Source organism: Homo sapiens, chromosome 9, assembly GCF_000001405.40.
Source record: "Homo sapiens chromosome 9, GRCh38.p14 Primary Assembly".
NCBI classification, from domain to species: Eukaryota; Metazoa; Chordata; class Mammalia; order Primates; family Hominidae; genus Homo; species Homo sapiens.
In genome coordinates, this window is record NC_000009.12 from 85,641,778 (window position 1) to 85,660,495 (window position 18,718).

Here is an 18,718-nt window from a genome sequence, read left to right on the forward strand (position 1 = left end):
GCAACCTCCATCTCCCAGGTCAAGAGATTCTCCTGCCTCAGCCTCCGAGTAGCTGCAACTACAGGTGTGTCTCATCACGCCCGGCTAATTTTCTTATTTTTAGAAGAAACAGGGTTTTGCCATATTGGTCAGGCTGGTCTCGAACTCCTGACCTCAAATTATCTGCCCACCTCGGCCTCCCAAAGTGCTGGGCTTACAGGCATGAGCCACCACACCCGGCAACAAATATTTCTTTTTAATTTCTCACCTATAACCTCACAACTATAACCTCACAACAAAGTATTTTTCTTTAAGCAACTAGAAATTAAGTGTATGAAATTTGGGGAACAAAGGAAGGGCTAAACAAATCTTAGAGATTATCTAATTCAAACTCTTAGACACTTTAAGATCCTGGGCGATTTCATAGACTTATCCAAGGAACCATCACAAAAGCCAGCTAATTGCCAACAATTCAATCAACTTGACTTGCTCTGTAATCCAGGCTGAATAAAAAAACTGTGTCCATTAAAGTGATGCAAAAAGACTAAAGTGACAAAAAATGTAATAGTCCATCTCCCCTCTTTTTTTTTTGAGACGGAGTCTTGCTCTGTCACCAGGCTGGAGTGTAATGGCGAGATCTCGGCTCACTGCAACCTCCGCCTCCCAGGTTCAAGCTATTCCCCTGCCTCAGCCTCCCAAGTAACTGGGACTGCAGGAACGTGCCACCACACCCAGCTAATTTTTTTTTTTATATTTTAGTAGTGACGGGGTTTCACTCTGTTGGCCAGGATGATCTTGATCTCCTGACCTCGTGATCCACATACCTCGGCCTCCCAAAGTGCTGGGATTACAGGTGTGAGCCACCACGCCCGGCCCATCTCCCCTCATTTTACAATTGCTTAACTGCAGCTCAGGATATTGACATAATTATTCAATGCCACTCAGAAAAGCAATGCTAGTTTCACTTTTTAGAAATGGAAAGAAAATAAAAACAGTGATTATCGACCTAAGGGAAAAAAAATAACTTTTTATTAAAATCAGTTAAGATGCTGAATTTTCTATATTTATACCTGAAAATCATCAACAAGCTCAGGGAAAAGGTGTTCATACATTTTTAGATCTTCTATTGTTCGTCCCGGTTCTTGCTGGGGTTTTAGTTTGTTAATATCTGTTTCAATATCATCATTCTGAAATGATAAAAAGAGTATGTTATCAGGTAAAACAAAATTTTTAAAAATTACAGAAAACATTTTAGATTTAAAATGTTCCAAGTTATTAATTACATGTAATTAAAGAATAATTACTGAATAAATACTGCATTAATTTTATCTTAAATTCAAATTTGCTTATTGTTTTGGGGTTGTTGTGTTATTGTTGGGTAGTTTTGTTTTGTTTTTGTCATGGTTACTCTAATATAACAGAGTATTCTGGCTACTCAAAACAGAAAAACTTGTGTAAAGATCAAGACTCCATTATGAAAAACATACATATATATGATGATGGTGATAATAAAACAGCTAACATTAAGCACTGAAAATAAATGAAACACTATGCTAAGCATTTTACATCTATTATCTAATTTATTCTGCATAAGAACACTATGAAGTTACCCCCATTTAACTGAAGAGGAAAATGAGGTACGGAGAAGTTAAGCCATTTGCTGAAAATTACACATCTTGCAAAGACAGGAGCCAGGATAAAAACCAGTTAGAGTGATTCTGAAGCACCACACTGTCAGCCAGCATCACACACTGCCCCAATACAGATTAATGATGATCACACAATCTTAGAGTGCATGGGAAATAAAGTTCTTTTAGAAAAACTCAGTGTCACCATTCACTCTGTTTTCAGTGGGGGAAAAAAGTCAGGAGTGGAACAAGAGCCAGAAATGATTTCCATGTCTCTCTAGGAAAAAAAGCAGGTGGATTTAAAGGAAAAGTATGTCCTCAGAGAAACAAGATATGTATCCAGGATCAATGTGTTCTAAATGCTCTTCAGAGAAGAGCTAATGAATCCCATGATAAGAGGGCAAATGTCAGATTATCTACTACCCAAGCTATTTTCTAGGATCCTCAATGACTCTGGCCTCACACAAACTAATTATTATCTTTGTTATGGCTGAAGAGAGATAATAATACCATTTAATAATTTTCAGTTGGTACTTATTTTTAATTTTGTATTTACTTACTACCAGAGTAAGCTACTTATTTTTCAGCCTAATTTACAAGTATATTTTACTATGCTTCAATCCTTAAAAAACTTTATATACATGTATCTGACCATACTTACACATATTAACTACTAGTTTAAAAGAAAAAAACATATTATGTATTTCTTATTATTTCATATTCAGGAATTTAGCTATTATTTACATAGCCAATGAAAAAGATTTTCCTCATTGATATGCATAATAGAGATTGATTTTATTTAAATGTTATCATATTAATCACTGTATCATTATTGTATACTTATTATTACATTAATATGTAATTTAATCTCTTTAAATTATACATTTAGGAACCAATAATGTAATAATTTTCTTAACATCTAATAGAATACATAATGTTTCTAAAATAAAAAATAATTTACAAAGATATTCTTTTCTCTAAACATACTAGTTCAATATTTGACACTATTTTGTGAAAATATGGCCTTACATAGTGGCTATTTGGAGAGGAAAAAAAAAAAAAAGGCTTTACCTGTAAAACAGGTATAATGGGGAAAGAAAACTACAACACTCCGAAAGCTCAACAGCAGGGAATTTTGTGTTTGGTTTAAGAAGAAACAGTAGTGAAGGACTACTTACAGACTCATTAGAAAAAAACAAAACAACCTGCTACCACTCCTTAAAAGTTCTGCTAGTTAAGGAAGGAACAAAGAATGCACTGAAACTTATATACGGTCAAGTTGTGGCTAGCTGGAGATGAATCTTCTAGAAGCTACCAGTTTCTATAAATGCTCCAAACTCTGAAAAATCTGGGACAAAGAAAATGGAATCACAGGAAAAAAAGTTATAACCATAAGAGAACACAAATAAATAATACCCCCACTATGATGTAGCAGTTCACCTGAAGGATGAAGGAATAGGATTCAGATAAAAAAAGGAAAAATTAAGTAACGTCTAAATGTAAAGTCAATGAGAGTAAGAGGCAGGCAGCAGTAGGAAAGAAAAAGAAGATAATAAAGCTCAGCAGTCTCAAAAAGCCAACAATTCCATAGTTCTTGAAGAAAAATTATATTTTAGTACAGTATAGTGATAAAGAGAGTGGACATTCCACTAGACTGCTTTCTGAATCCTGGCTCCACCTCTTATAAACTAGACTGAGAACCTCTCTCTTCCTCTGTTTTCTATGTACTTATACAACCTGTATTTACCTCATAGGGTTGCTATAAGGATCTAATGGTTACTATGTATATGTAAAGAGTTTGGACTACCACAGTTAAGTGTTCAATAATAAAATGTATTTTGTTCTTATTGCTATAACTGCTCTGTTAAGATAAAGTAGGGAAAACGTGAGCAATCACTGATACCCCAGTGAATAGTGAATAATGCAAGCTAACAACTACATTTTCCAAAGATGTCAATGTTATAAGACAAAGAAATCTGTAGAAATGTCCCAGATTAAAGGAGACTAAAGAGACAAGATAATTAAGGGCAATACCTGATGCCAGGACATAGATGTAGTTTAGATTGGCTAACTTGACAGTTTCGCCAAAGCTTACCTTGGTGATCACATTTGCTGGTTATAAAATGGGTTCTGTATCTATTAAGACAGAAATCTTCCAATATCTTAACTTCTATCTCCAAAGTGAATCGAATACTCAGTGTACCCCAATTTTGATACAGTTTTGCAAGACAAAAATTGGTCCAAACAGGAAAGAGTCAAATTAATCCCTCCTCCCCCATAAAAAAAACCCAGCAATAGGCTAAACAGCTAAAAAAAGAGACCATTTTTCTACAGATGCTAGAGTAGTCCTCTCTCTATAAATAAAGCAAAATACAGACTTTCTAGGCTTCCAGAGGTACAATGAAACTCCGAAAACTTACTTGCCACCTTTACCTAACATCTTATGTAATATGACAATAATTTTATATTTTCTCAATAATACTTTTTTCACTTCCTTGTTCAATTAACTGAAACCTAAGAATCATTATGCAAACACTAATTCTCACAAAAACAAATCCATTATAGAATATTTTCCTACTGTTTTTGTATCCCCAAAAGACTGCTGACAAAGGATAATAATGCATTTTGAAATAAGTTGCCACAAGAGAGTTTCAGATCACTTTCCTTCAATTTTGTAGATTTCAAAATCTAAGGCAGAAAGGTTAGATAAAATCTTTCTGGTCAGAGAGAGTGAAAATAAGTTACTTTAAGGTCCTTTTCAGACCAGTGGATTTAAACCAATATCATCTACCCCTTTAATTGCATAGTCATTCATGGTAAAAAGATGTGGACAAAGTAAAACCTAAAATTACATATATATTTATTTACCCAATTTTTGTTTTACAACTGTAGTATATCATTTATAAAGCTAACTAATTACAGAAATTTATACTAACCTTAAAATTTTGATCTAGGTCATCTTCATTCTCAGTTTCGTTTTCAGCTTCTACATCAATATCATCGTTGTCATCACTTTCATCTACTACGTCATCCACTATGATACAAAATGTGCTATAAGTAGGTCAGAGGTAAGCATTCTACAATATGCATAGCCAATGGTAGAATGTGACTTATATAAAGTATTTCAATCACCAGAGAAAAAGTAAATGAGATTTCTTATTTAACATCTCTCTAAGGCTGTCCCAGCTGTTGACAAACCCATGGGACCATATAAGAAAGTGCTTCAAAATTTGGAAAGCACTGTAAAGGTGAATTTTACTAATGTTCTCAGTTTTTAAAAATAATGTCTTATGTTGCGATAGCCTGAATGAAACATCCTGTTTTCTATTTATTATAAATTTCAATGACTCACTTCATCCCTTTATAATTGACCCCCTATTTGTTTCAATGACAGTCATGTGCCACATACTGTGCTATATGCTGGGAATTTTTTCAAAAGATGTGTAAATCGGGTTGTCTAATCTTTTTGTTTCCCTGGGCCACACTGGAAGAGGAAGAACTGTCTTGGGCTACACATAAAATACACTAATACCAACGATAGCTGGTGTGCTTAAAAAAAAAAAATTACACACACACACACAAATCTCATATTGTTTTAAGAAAATTTATGAGGTCAGGCGCAGTGGCTCACGCCTGTAATCCCAGCACTTTGGGAGGCCAAGGCAGGCAGATCAGCTGAGGTTGGGAGTTCGAGACTGGCCTGACCAACATGGAGAAACCCTGTCTCTATTAAAAATACAAAATTAGCTGGGCATGGTGGTGCATGCCTGTAATCCCAGCTACTCGGGAGGCTGAGGCAGAAGAATTGCTTGAACCTGGGAGGCGGAGGTTGCGGTGAGCCAAGATCGCGCCATTGCACTCCAGCCTGGGCAACAAGAGCAAAATTCTGTCTCAAAAAAAAAGAAAGTTTATGAATCTCTGTTGGGCCACATTCAAAGTCAATCTGGGTTGTATGTGGCCCATGGGCAGCATATTGGACATGCTTGGTGTAAATATAGTCTCTTCCTTCAGGTAGCTCATGAGGTTAAAGAGCAGAAAGGAGTAAACATGTAATTATAATACCAAAGATAAACACTAATGAAGCCATAAACTCCAAAATACTATGGGAAAATGAGGAATGAGGTGGCTCATGAGGTCAAAGAGCAGAAAGGAGTAAACACGTAATTATAATACCAAAGATAAATGCTAATGAAGCCATAAACTCCAAAATGCTATGGGAAAACGAGAAATGCAACAACTAATTGTAAACTGCTTGGAGACAAGGGGCTTGATGCTGACCACTTCACAGAATAGGTGATATTTAAGCAGTATCTTGTAGAAAGTATAACAGATTTCTATGTGAATGTAATGGTGGGTGAGTGTGGCTTCTAAGAAGAGGAAATAATACTACTAAAATAAGGAAGTGAAATGATATCTTTAGAAAATAACAAAAGGTATGACTAGGATGAAGAGTATGCTTATGAAAGTACTGAAAGGAAAATAAAGAATTAAAAAATGAAGGATGTAACATAGTAGGCCAAGTAGTACTGACTTTTAATATAAAGAAGATAGGCACTGAGAATTTTCAAGACAAGAATGGCTTAATTCAATTTTAAGAGGTGAGAGAGACAGCATACGGGTGGAAGGTGACCAACAAACAGGAAAAGAAAAAAATTCCATGTTGTAGCAGGATAGCACAGGGGTTCTAGAAACAGAATACCTGAATTCAAATCCTAGCTCCCGAACTTACTAGCTATTTGACCTTGAGCAAGTTACATCAATTCTTTGTCTTCGTTTCTTTGTCTATAAAATGGAGATATCTACTCATAGTGTTTCTGTGGGCATTAGAGAAGTTAATATACGTAAAGTGCCAGGCAGAGTATGTGTTACACAAATGTTTATTACTGCTGTTGCTTGAGGGACTGTGCTACTGGGTCTCTTTGTAACAGCAGTTTAGTCGACCCTAACTAATACAGGTACAAATATAAAAACAAATCACCTCAAATTCTTAGATAGCAAAAAATAAATATTCATATTTCACATGGTAACCTGGGTTGATTTATACTTATGCCCTAACGGCAGTTGGTCATGGATAAACAAGGGAAGAACTGACATTTGGAAGAAGAGAAGGAAGAAAATAACTCCTAGGAAAAAAGAAAGGGATTGAATTAAGGCGCGGTGGTTCACACCTGTAATCCCAGCATTCTGGGAGGCCGAGACGGGCGGATCACGAGGTCAGGAGATCGAGACCATCCTGGCTAACACAGTGAAACCCCGTCTCTACTAAAAGTACAAAAAATTAGCTGGGCGTGGTGGCGGGCACGTGTAGTCCCAGCTACTCGGGAGGCTGAGGCAGGAGAATGGCGTGAACCCGGGAGGTGGAGCTTGCAGTGAGCTGAGATCGCGCCACTGCACTCCAGCCTGGGCAACAGTGCGAGACTCCGTCTCAAAAAAAAGAGAAAGAAAGAAAATCCTATTGCAAGTAGGAAAAATGACTGCTTGGAAAGAAAGGGAGAGGAGAAAATGCAGTTCAGCATCAGAGAGAAAATATGTTTTCAATTTTTAGTCAAACCTTTCAAATATTTTCCTTTGTAGGATGTTTTCCTTAGGGTTTATACTCCAGATGTGAAATGCCATGTAGCTTAAGAGCGTCTGAGACCTTCTCTGCTATTTCAAAGATCCATTCATTATACCAGTACCAATAATTAACAATATTAATTATTATAGCCAATCAAATTAAAACCAGGGAATATAAACCAAAATTCTTACTGATTTTCAAAATGTCCTTGGCTTATAGTAAAAACAGAAATATAGGAAACAACTTAAATGTCTATCAGTAGGACACTAGTTAGATAAATTATACTACAACTGTATGATGTAGTCATTAGAAGGAAAGAGTCTGCACATTCTATAAGGACTGGGAAAGTACATCACGGGAAGTTTATTTTGTTGTTGCTATTGTGCCTATAAATGTGATCTACTTTCCCTTTATGTTTTCTATGTGTTTTTTGTTGATACACATATACACACGTAGAGGAAGGCTATTTAATTTTATTCATTTTTCTTGTAAATAGTACTTTACTGTTCCTTTGCGTAAGCCACTTTTTTACAATTGATTTGCTTGGATTTTCTATATAGACAGTAATATCCTCCACAGATACTGATAAATTTATCTCACTCTTTTAACGGTTAAGACCTTTCTTTTCCCTATCTTACTGATTTAGCTAGAGTTTTCAAAACTACGGTAAATAATAATGGTTGAGAGAGGCATCCTCTAACATTTCATTACTATTTATGATGTTGGCTATTGATTTGAGCTAGATAATACTTAGCTTGTTCAGGAAATATTCCTGTGTTCCTTAAAAATTTTTCTACACTGATATGATTTTTATGAAATCTTGTCATGGCATTTACTGAGATGATCATTTGGTTTTGTCCCTTTGATCTACTGATAATATATTTTACTAATTAAAGTCTTAATATTACAATAAACTTACTTTCTTAAAAATCATCTTTACTTGGTCAAGGTGTCCTAAACGTAAACAATACTGCTCAACTAAATTTGCTAATACTTTAGGATTTTTATATTTATTTTCATGAGTGACAGTGATCTGTAGGTTGTTTCAGATTAATCTTACCAGATTGTGTTTTCAGCATCATGCTAGCTTCTAAACTTTCCTTTTTTTTTTTTTTTTTTTTTCTTGCTCTGGAAAATAAAGTGTAGGACAATTTCTTGAAAGTTTGGGAGAACTAATCTATGAAGTCATCACCATTTGGTGTCTTCACTAAAGAAGCTTGATTGCATATTCAATTTCAAATTTTTTACTATTTAAGTCAATATTAGTTATTCATATTTTCCTAAAATATTGTCCATTCCAATCACACAGTGACCCTTGAAAAATGTAAGTTTGAACTGTGCAGGTTCGTTAATACACAGATTTTCTTCTGCCTCTGTCACTCCTCAGATAGCAAAACCCCTCCTGCCCCTCCTCCTCCTCAGTCTATTCAATGTGTAGACAACAAGGATGTAAACCTTTATGAAAACCACCTCCACTTAATGAACAGTAAATATGTTTTCTCTTCCTTATGACTTTTCAAATAACATTTTCTTTTGTCTAGCTTACTTTGTTGTACAGAATACACGTAACATAAAAAATATGTATTAACTGTTTATGTTATCAGTAAGGTTTCTGGTCAACAGGTTACTAGTAGTTATGTTTTGGAGGAGTCAAAAGTTCTATGCAGATTTTCAACTGCACAGAGTCGATACTGCTAATCCCCAAGTTGTTTTAGGGTCAAGTCTGTATTCAAATGCATTCGCAGGAGTTGCCTTTAACATCTACTTAGACTGATTTAACCACCCCTATTTACTTTGCCAAGAATGTAGAGGTATATTAAAATCAACCACCAACACTGTTTCTACCAATGTCTTTCTGTTATTCAAATGATTATAGTTTTGTCGACTTTTAGTATTTGGCACATGTGTTATCTAGCTTGCATAAAATAATCTTCACTGCCTTGTTTTAATCATTTTTTATTCTGTATTCGTGTTTTGTTTAACAATAATACTTTCCTTCTCACCTCTTCTGGGCTAAGGAATAACACATACATATTTGCTAATCTGTTTACTTTCAAGCTTTCTATCCTGCTGTCTTAAGAGACTTCATATGTACCAGCTAGTCGGATTTTGTTTTTTAACCCAATCTGGGAGTCTCTTTCCTTCAACAGGAGTATTTCATCCATTTAGACTTATTACTGAAACTGATCTGCTTGTCCTTGCTTAGCCTTTAGTGCTCTCAGGATATTGTGCATCTTTGAAATTTCCTTGCTTTTACACAGCAATGATGGACCCCTATAATTTTATATCAATTTTCAAAGTGTCCATAGTCTCCAAAGGCCACCCATGTATTTCTATGGGTCAATGGACTCCTGTTTAAGGATCTCTGTTCCAGATGTTACCTTTACATTTGGCGAATATACATTTGGATTATTTGTATAATTTTCATTTTAGAAATGCAAGAACAGTATAATATTAGGAAATCTATCAATATAAATTTTAGCTCATTTATGTAAATACCCACTTTATAATAACTGTATTATGTATCTTTTGCCAATAATTAGCTAACATGTTTCATAATAATACTATAACAACTATTTAGTATTATATAGTTAACAGATTATAATGTTTAATACAAATACTCTTAGGTAACGTCTACATTCTTGACATCTCTAATTCATCATCTGACTGGCTGGAGTAATATTTCACATAATTACTTCAGGAAGGGAATACCTGGATAATATACTTCTGTACCCAAACATACCTAAGAATATGTCACCTTCACATATGGTGACAACTAATAAAGGTCCAGAAGTCTTGAGTCAGAACCCTTTCCTTCAAATCTCCATAGATGCAGCATTTAACATTCAGAAGAATAAGTATCAAGGCCAGCTCGATTCATTTATTCAACAAACATTAAATGCACTTATTATGTCCCACACAATCTAATGGATGCTGAAGACAAAATGAAAACAACAACAGTCCTATTGTGATATATATTTGATCTTTGTCCCAGGTTCCTGGCACACAGCTGCTAAATCCCTTGGAATTTCCTAGGTAGAGGAGCATCTTTTGTTCTAATGATGTGACTCTTTGTGGGCCCCTTGATAACTTCAGGATAGAGGCTGGTCACTAGAAAGATCAAGGCATGATCAGACAGTTGGAACTTCAGCCCCACTCCTCAACCTCTGGGGAGAGAGGAGCTGGGGACTGATTTTATCAAAAATAGCCTTATAATTAAGCAATCACACCTACATAATGGAACCTCCATAAAAACCCTAAACAATGGTATAAAAGCTCAGAGTTTTGGCCGGGTGCAGTGGCTCACGCCTGTAATCCTAGCACTTTGGGAGGCTGAGGCAGGCGGATCACAAGGTCAAGAGATCGAGACCATCCTAGCCAACATGGTGAAACCCCGTCTCTACTAAAAAATACATAAAAATTAGCTGGGCGTGGTGGTGCACACCTGTAGTCCCAGCTACTTGGGTGGCTGAGACAGGAGAATTGCTTGAACCCAGGAAGCGGACGCTGCAGTGAGCTGAGATCGCACCACTGCACTCCAGCCTGAAGACAGAGTGAGACTTCATCTCAAAAAAAGAAAAAAACAACACACCACTCAGAGTTTCTGAGTTGGTGAACACATCATGGTGCTGGGAGGGTGGCATACCTAGAGAGGGCATGGAAGCCCCACACCCCTTCTCTTATACCTGGCTCTATGCATCGCTTCCATTTAGCAGCTCTCAAATTGTATCCTTTATAATAAACCCATAACCATAAGTAGAGTGTTCCTGAGTTCTGTGAGCCATTCTAGCAAATTATCAAACTTCAGGAACAGGTTGTGGAAACCCCCACCCCCATCAACTTTATTGCCAGTAGGTCAGACATACAGGTAGTCCAGACTTGTAATTGTTATCTGAAGTGGTAGCAGTCCTGTGGGACTAAACCCTTAACCTGTGGGGTCTGTATTAACTCCAGGTCTTCAGTGTCAGAATTGAACTGAATTGCAGAACACCCAGCTAGTGTCTGGAGATATGGAGAATTGGTTGGTATGAGGACAAAAGACACATATTTGGGGGTCAGAAATGCTGTGAGTAAAAGAGTTCAGACCTATCCTTGTGGACTCACATTCTAGCTGAGGAAGGTAAATAATAATAAAGACTGTGAAACATATAATGAAGCCTGACATGTGAGAAAATAATGGAAAACAAAGCAGAGGCAAGGGCATGTAGTCCCAGCTACTTGGGAGGCTGAGGTGGGGGGGATCTCTTGAACTCAGGAGTTCGAGACCAGCCTGGGAAACATGGGGGGAGGAAGGAGGAGGAGGAGGAAGGAATAATGGAAAACAGAATGAGAGTATTTTCCTAGTATCTATACACTTGCTATTAGAACCCTCCTCTCCCATCTGAATCAGGAAGGCTTGTCAGTCAATGTAAATATGCATTTCTAGTCCAGTGACTCATTGGTCTGAGAAGCAGGCATCAAAGGAACTAAAAGAAAAATATAATTTCTTGTTTGTTCCCGTGTTTGGTGAATTTACTGCACTAGAGGTCGGCTTTCTCTATCCGTCAATCCAGACACTAAATAAAGAACTTGCTGGGGCCTATCCCACCTCCTTCCTGGTGTTACTACTGGCCGCAGCACAGGGAAGACTCACCAGCTTTCCACCAGTGAGAACCACCATTTAACCCCCATAATCCTATGTTGATGTAGGAAAGAAAGGGATTCCAACTGCTTCCTGATTGTCCCTCCAAACTGGTGCTAATGGCACCTCAACTTTAGCAGAAGATAATGCATTCCTAGAAGAGGGAGTGGAGGCTTGATGCTGCTCCTGCATTTACTCACAGCTCCACCACATCTCTTGAATGTTCTGTATTTGTTCCATGCCCCTCTTACCCAGTTTTCAGATTTGGTACAGATTTTCTCCTGTAAAAGTCTGTCGGTAATTTCAAATGGAATGGGAAAAGGGTATTGGACCACTGCTTTTACTTAGCTTTCTTACTCATAAGTCCTAGACTTAGTCTTAGACTTTTCAACATTTTAAAGGAGGTTTCTAAATAATCCATTTTGATATGTTGTGTCAACTTGTTTTAATAACTACATATTTTAAAAATAAAATCATAATAGTGTACCCTATGACATATACCATTAATAAATTTATATCAAGGATAATGAAACTAATATAATTCCTTGAAAATTCTCTTAAAACACTTGTTTCAAATAAGAATTTTACATATAAATAAAGAATCTTCGTTTTTTTTCTCAAAAAAGTAATAAACTGATAAGAAAATACTATAGAAATTCTATTAAAAGCCAGGACTACTTTCTCTTTTTCACTTTGGTAGATGTTGTCAAAGAAATTCTTCTTCCCCATATAAATAAACTCTTACTTCCTCTACTGTATACCTACAGTATTATATGGAAAATGACAAACAGCCTACCTCAGATAATTTCATATTTTCATCCAAGTAAGTCATGTGAAAGTTTTTGTTAAGCATAAAACCATAGTAATTTTGGTGATTAGGTTGTTTTTTTTTAACTTAAGAAAAAAAATCACTGAAAAGCTACAAATGTAAACCCGAACATAATTTACCTAGACATTTAATGTTTATATTTTTACACTTTAAAAACATACATAAGTTGGGCCGGGTGTGGTGGCTCACACCTGTAATCCCAGCACTTTGGGAGGCCGAGGCAGGCAGATCACTTGAGGTCAGGAGTTTGAGAACAGACTGGCCAACATGGCGAAAACCCATCTCTACTAAAAATACAAAAATTACCCGGGAATGGTGGCACAGGCCTGTGATCCTGGCTACTCAGGAGGCTGAGGCAGGAGAATTGCTTGAACACGGGAGGCAGAGGTTGCAGTGAGCCGAGATTGCACCACTGCACTCCACCCTGGGCAACAGAGCAAGACTCTGTCTCAAAAAAAAAAATTAAAACAAAAAAAAAGTACATAAGCTATCAAATAATATTCCTATGTGAAGCTTAATTATTTCACAATTCACATTTGCATATATACAACACATCCCACACCATTTCACTTAATTATTAGCCTCCAATTTCTTACATTTAAAGAAATGCTTAACTAAAATAAAATGTGAATGTTTATCACGTTAAGTAAGGCCTTCCTTTGCTGAGGAGTTAGACATAAATAAAAAGAAAATCACAGGGTCACATAATTCTAAGAACCCACAAAAAGCAGCAGTGACCCTGTGATCCTACCTTCAGGAGGTAAGCTGTAGAGCTGAGCCACAGGACCAGTCACAGGAATAACAGGCAACTGGAAATGAAAAGAACTTTTAATTGTTGGGAGTGGCAGTCGATTTTTTGGGAAACACTTCCTCATTATCAGACTGGAGGTATTGACAAGAGGATCCAGAGTCCTGACTGCCAGACATTCCTGTTTTTTAAAAAAAGAAAAAGAAAAAGAATGTTTTTGATGAATAACTGAACCAATTTTACTTTAGTTCAAAAAGTGTCATACATTAATAATTTTCTAGAAACAAATATCTCAAAAACCAATATTTTAACACAGAATAATTACAAAATAGCTTTACTATTCAGAATTATCTATCTGTAAGTAAGAACCCCATGTGGCAAATTCAGAAGAACTTTTCCTTAAATATTTTCACTAAGCAGAAATCAGTACCATCTTTGGAGTGACTTGGGGGGACACTTGGCAAGCCTAGGGCATAAAATAAAAAAGATAATTTAAGGGAAAAGGGGGAAAAGGATTAAGCAAGAAAATTTAAAAGGTGTAAGAAATTAAAAAACAAAAAAAAAAACACGCATTTGACCAAACCTTCCTCAGAACTGTATCAGTTATCATGCAATAATACCTCTCATAAGTTGGCTATTCACCTTATAAAAGGATAGCCTGAATATCACAATATAAAGGTTTTTTTGTTTCTTTGTTTTTGGTTTTGAGATGGAATCTCGCTCTGTCACCCAGGCTGGAGTGAAGTAGAGCTATCTCGGCTCACTGCAAGCTCCGCCTCCTGGGTTCATACCATTCTCCTGCCTCAGCCTCCCGAGTAGCTGGGACTACAGGTGCCCGACACCACGCCCGGCTAATTTTTTGTATTTTTAGTAGAGACGAGGTTTCACCATGTTAGCCAGGATGGTCTCGATCTTCTGACCTCGTGATCCGCCCGCCTTGGCCTCCCAAAGTGCTGGGATTACAGGCATGAGCCACTGCGCCTGGCCCACAATATAAAGTTTTAAGAGTCTGACTTGCTGTCCTGGTATCTAATCTGGAGAAGGGTTAAGGGACATGGGATATGAAACCGTCATATAACAACAGTATTATTAGTGACATTTGACATTTAGATGGTACTATGATACACTGTAAAAGTTTCCATATACATTTTCACATCTGACCTGTCAAAACAAATGAGAAATTAAGGCTCAGAAATGTTAAGTGGCATAAACCAAGTGACCTAACTCTTTCTCATATATAAAATATCCATCAATGTCTATACTAGGAATAGTAAAAACAAGTACATATGATTGATCTAGAAAAGAAAAAACTAAGGTAAACATAAAATATGTGTTCAGATATCTCAACTCTTGTCATATAAAAATAGACTGTGTTTGTCATGTGTGAGACCAGGAGGGCACAATCAAGATAACTGGCTGATATTTTCAAAAAGACAGATTTCTTTCTAATAATTATAGCTTTCTTAAAAAAAAAAGAGAGGGGGTTGCATTGCAACATCCTCATTCCCCATGGCTGACAGTCAGCACAGCAACTAGAAAGGATCTCACTAAATACACTGTCAAAAATGTTTATGCTTAAAATGGCTGGCAGATATAGCATTCCCAGTTCCAGGTTTCATTTTTGTACCTTCTCTATTCAAAAAAGCCTCTATCCAGCAGGAAAACGTGCAGAATACTCACAGACAACAGAGCTGCTCTACAGGCTGTAAAGGATCCACAGATACCTCATGAGAGGAGCAAACAACACCGAGTACAGCCAACTACACATCCTAGAAAACATGGCTTTACGGAATCCCCTCTTGCTAAGTGGATGAATTTCTACTTCTTCCTTTTGCCTTAATGAGATCACATGGACACAGGAAGGGGAATATCACACTCTGGGGACTGTTGTGGGGTGGGGGGAGAGGGGAGGGATAGCATTGGGAGATATACCTAATGCTAGATGACGAGTTAGTGGGTGCAGTGCACCAGCATGGCACATGTATACATATGTAACTAACCTGCACAATGTGCACATGTACCCTAAAACTTAAAAGTATAATAATAAAAAAAAAATAATACAAAAAAAAAAAAAGAAAGAAAATTTCACATTGCAGAGCTGTGCACTGACCATTTCCTCCAACTCAGCCTGAGGTCACATGTGAGAAATAATTGTGTCTTTTACTTTTAAGATTTTCGAAAAATGCATTTATCCTGTGTATACGTTTCTGAGTATTTGCACACTAATTCAGTTTTCTTAACAACCAAATCATATTATTAGTACATAATCACAATAATAAGAAGAAAATAACTCACTTGCGAAGTATTATACAGAATTTTCATCCCATTGGCATCAATAAATGCTTTTCTTCCCAACTTGATGTTTGTAACACTTTTTAAACTCTGTAAAATTCCTTTCCGAATGAGCATGTTTCTATGCCGGTTATCATGGCGGTGCCAATCTACATAAATTGTTAAAAGCACTTGGACATATCCTCTGTCTACAGCTCTCCTGGCATTTGTTTCTTTAACAAAAGAAGATTGAGAAAGAATATTTTTTAAATGACGAGAGTGAGTGGTAGAATAATCAAATTTAAAATATTACCTCAATATTGTGATGGATACTTATAATTCTTTTTTCCAAAACAAATGACAAGCACATATTTATATTTTTTCTAACAAAATAAATATGAAGTTCCAGAGAGAAAATTACAACCTCTTCCAAAATCTGCCTGTGTAATGTTTCACGATTTATAAATATCAAAATCTCTTTACTAAAATTAGAGGAACATCTTTTTAAAGGCTTTTGTTTACTAACAAAAGCTTCAGGTATTTTACAATTTATGAATATACTGATTTTTGTTACACCAAATGAAATGTATAAGCTTTCTACTTGCTAGTTGTGAATGTGATTTTTAGAAGATCTGCTATCATTTTTATAATTTCTATTACAAACTTTATGTTCCCACTGAAATAAACCCTATTGAATTGTAGCTTCTATTGCAAACTTTGTGTTTCCACTAAAATTAATTGCTCTAATTACTCCACAATTATATAAATATTCATACTATAACAATGCTCATTAAAAAATACTTCCGTAACTTTTTTAGTAAATGAAATTTAAGGAGCATTACATGATTAGAAAATAGTGCTTTCTGGCTTTCTAGTCATTAGATTTTTATTGCAATAAGAACTACACTAAAGGTTTTTGTAAATACTCAATTTTATTGGAGTAGAATTAACAAATAAATCCATGTTTGACCTAATTTTATTATTTTTAAAAGTATTAGTATTTAAAATTATTAACCATAGGGCACATTTTACTAAGATAGTGGCAAGGGAATCATATCAGAGCAACATATCAAGTCACCCAATGCTGCTCTGGTGGGTTAATTATAAGGGGTGCAAGATAATGTGCAATACCCATCTGAGGTTGTTTAATTACAAGGAAATACTAATCTCTTCTTAATCTCAAATACACCTATAAAATACCCACCAGGTTCACAGTATGGACACTAAGATAATGCAGTAGTAAGCCTCCACTGATTTTAGCTGCCTGAATTATTACAGTTTCTAAATGTGCTAGTACAAACCTAAAACATAACACTGAGATAAACTTATTAATTCCCTTTCAGAACTATGTTCTGACATTAGACAGGCAGAAGACACTCACTAGAGCTACGGAAAAGATTTCTTATGTGAAGGCTTTAAACCCAGTATTGTGTCTACAATAGCTAGTGTGCTAAGGCTGTGGCTATTTACAAAATCACTTCCATTGTTTTGACCAAGAAAAGCTTCATACATTTTAAATGAATATACACTTTGTTTATACCAGTTGGAAATAAGCCTTTAGTTTACTAGCTGTGAATGTGATTTTGTTAAAAGCCATTATGATCATTCTAATTCCTATTACAAACCTTGTGTGTTTCCACCAAGATTCCCAATAGCCTAAATGGAATTTATGAGAAATATTAAAATTCTTCACAAATAAGTAAGAAACTTGCCCATAATTCAAACACAGGTGCTGAGTGCCCCTTAAAGGAAGTGAACAGAGCTACATGCAATCTGTGCTGAGCACAATTAAAACATTAGTAAAGGGAACTTTATTCATGTATTCAGTGTACCAAACTCACAATTAGCCTATGTCTCTTCTTCCCTCTCTAAAGTCTAATTTATCCTTTTAAAGAAAATGATTGCTCCTCTCTGCCAAAACCAAAAAAATTTTGAAAAATAAATGAGAATGCTCCAAAATGCCATGATTTGTTTAAAAATATGCAGTAGGCTACTAAATTTTATTTTGTATCATTCAATTTTCATCCTATTTAATGCCATGTGTCATCTGAAAATACATTAAATATAAACTGAAGTCATTCTACTTGTCAGTTACTTTTTTTTATTTTGATGGAATAAACATGTATGTTTGCCCACCACCCTCATTTGAAAAAGAAGGGAGGGAGTAAAAAGGAGACTACTACTAAAAACTGAAAATATTAAATTACAGTAATCATGGATTGATTTCTATAAAATACTTGCAACTTATGAGAATTTTGGCTTTTACTAACTTAGAATTAGTGACTTCACTATCAGTGATCCTGAAAATTAGTAAGCTTTAATAAAAGTTTAGTTTCAATAGCTATTCTAATCTACTCCAAATCAAAAGTATTTGCCCATATTAAGAATTAATCTTTATACAGTTTGAACCACAAACTCAGGACCCATCAAAGCAAACCTAAAAATATCTTCTAAAATTAATCCACGTATTGTGATCTTGGTCTAAAGCTTACCACATCATATATGAAAATAAAGCTACAAAGCTAATCTAACTGAGTGTCATACATTTCATTCGAAAAATAAAATTGTTAAATGAGAATTCTATTATTTACTACTAATACCTAAGGTGATTTTTAAAATTTAATAAATCATTACCAAATATTAGATTTTTGATCAATTCATTATTTGCTATTATTTAAAAAAAAAAAGAGTTCTGGCAATTAAAATGTAGGGGCAAGTTGGTCTCACCCCTGACAGACAGTTCTTGATGAGCTAGCTGTTAATTATGTCTCCCTTGTGGAGGGTGGAGTGGGGTGGGGACATATAAAAGCCACCCAGCCACCAACACAGATTGTGAAGACCAAATGTTACCGTGATTAAACAAAATGTTTATGTAATCAACCAACAGACCCCTGAAGCCCCCCAAAAAAATATTTAAAATAAAGAGACTCAGTATCTTGGAGAGAAAAAATATATGTAAGTACAGATGATTACTCTCCAAAAGCATAAGACATATCTACTCCAATGCTTCAATTCTGATAAGGAAAACAGTGCTTTATTTTGTAAATGAATTAGACTGTAAATGTATATTGTCACATTTTCTAAA

At 35.6% G+C, this 18,718-nt stretch overlaps 1 protein-coding gene across 25 annotated transcripts in view; it reads right to left on the reverse strand.

The window, feature by feature from the left end:
* AGTPBP1 (ATP/GTP binding carboxypeptidase 1) overlaps nt 1-18,718 on the reverse strand; it is a 258,945-nt gene that overhangs the window by 95,239 nt on the left and 144,988 nt on the right. For 18 of the 25 annotated variants that reach the window (XM_047423094.1, XM_047423090.1, XM_047423089.1 and 15 more), the window contains 4 exons: nt 15,658-15,866; nt 13,366-13,543; nt 4,544-4,641; nt 1,050-1,166 (listed from right to left, as the gene is read on the reverse strand). In XM_047423094.1, the coding sequence (XP_047279050.1) occupies nt 1,050-1,166; nt 4,544-4,641; nt 13,366-13,543; nt 15,658-15,866 (602 nt within the window). The other 7 variants (NM_001286717.1, NM_015239.3, XM_047423097.1 and 4 more) reach the window with 2 other exon arrangements.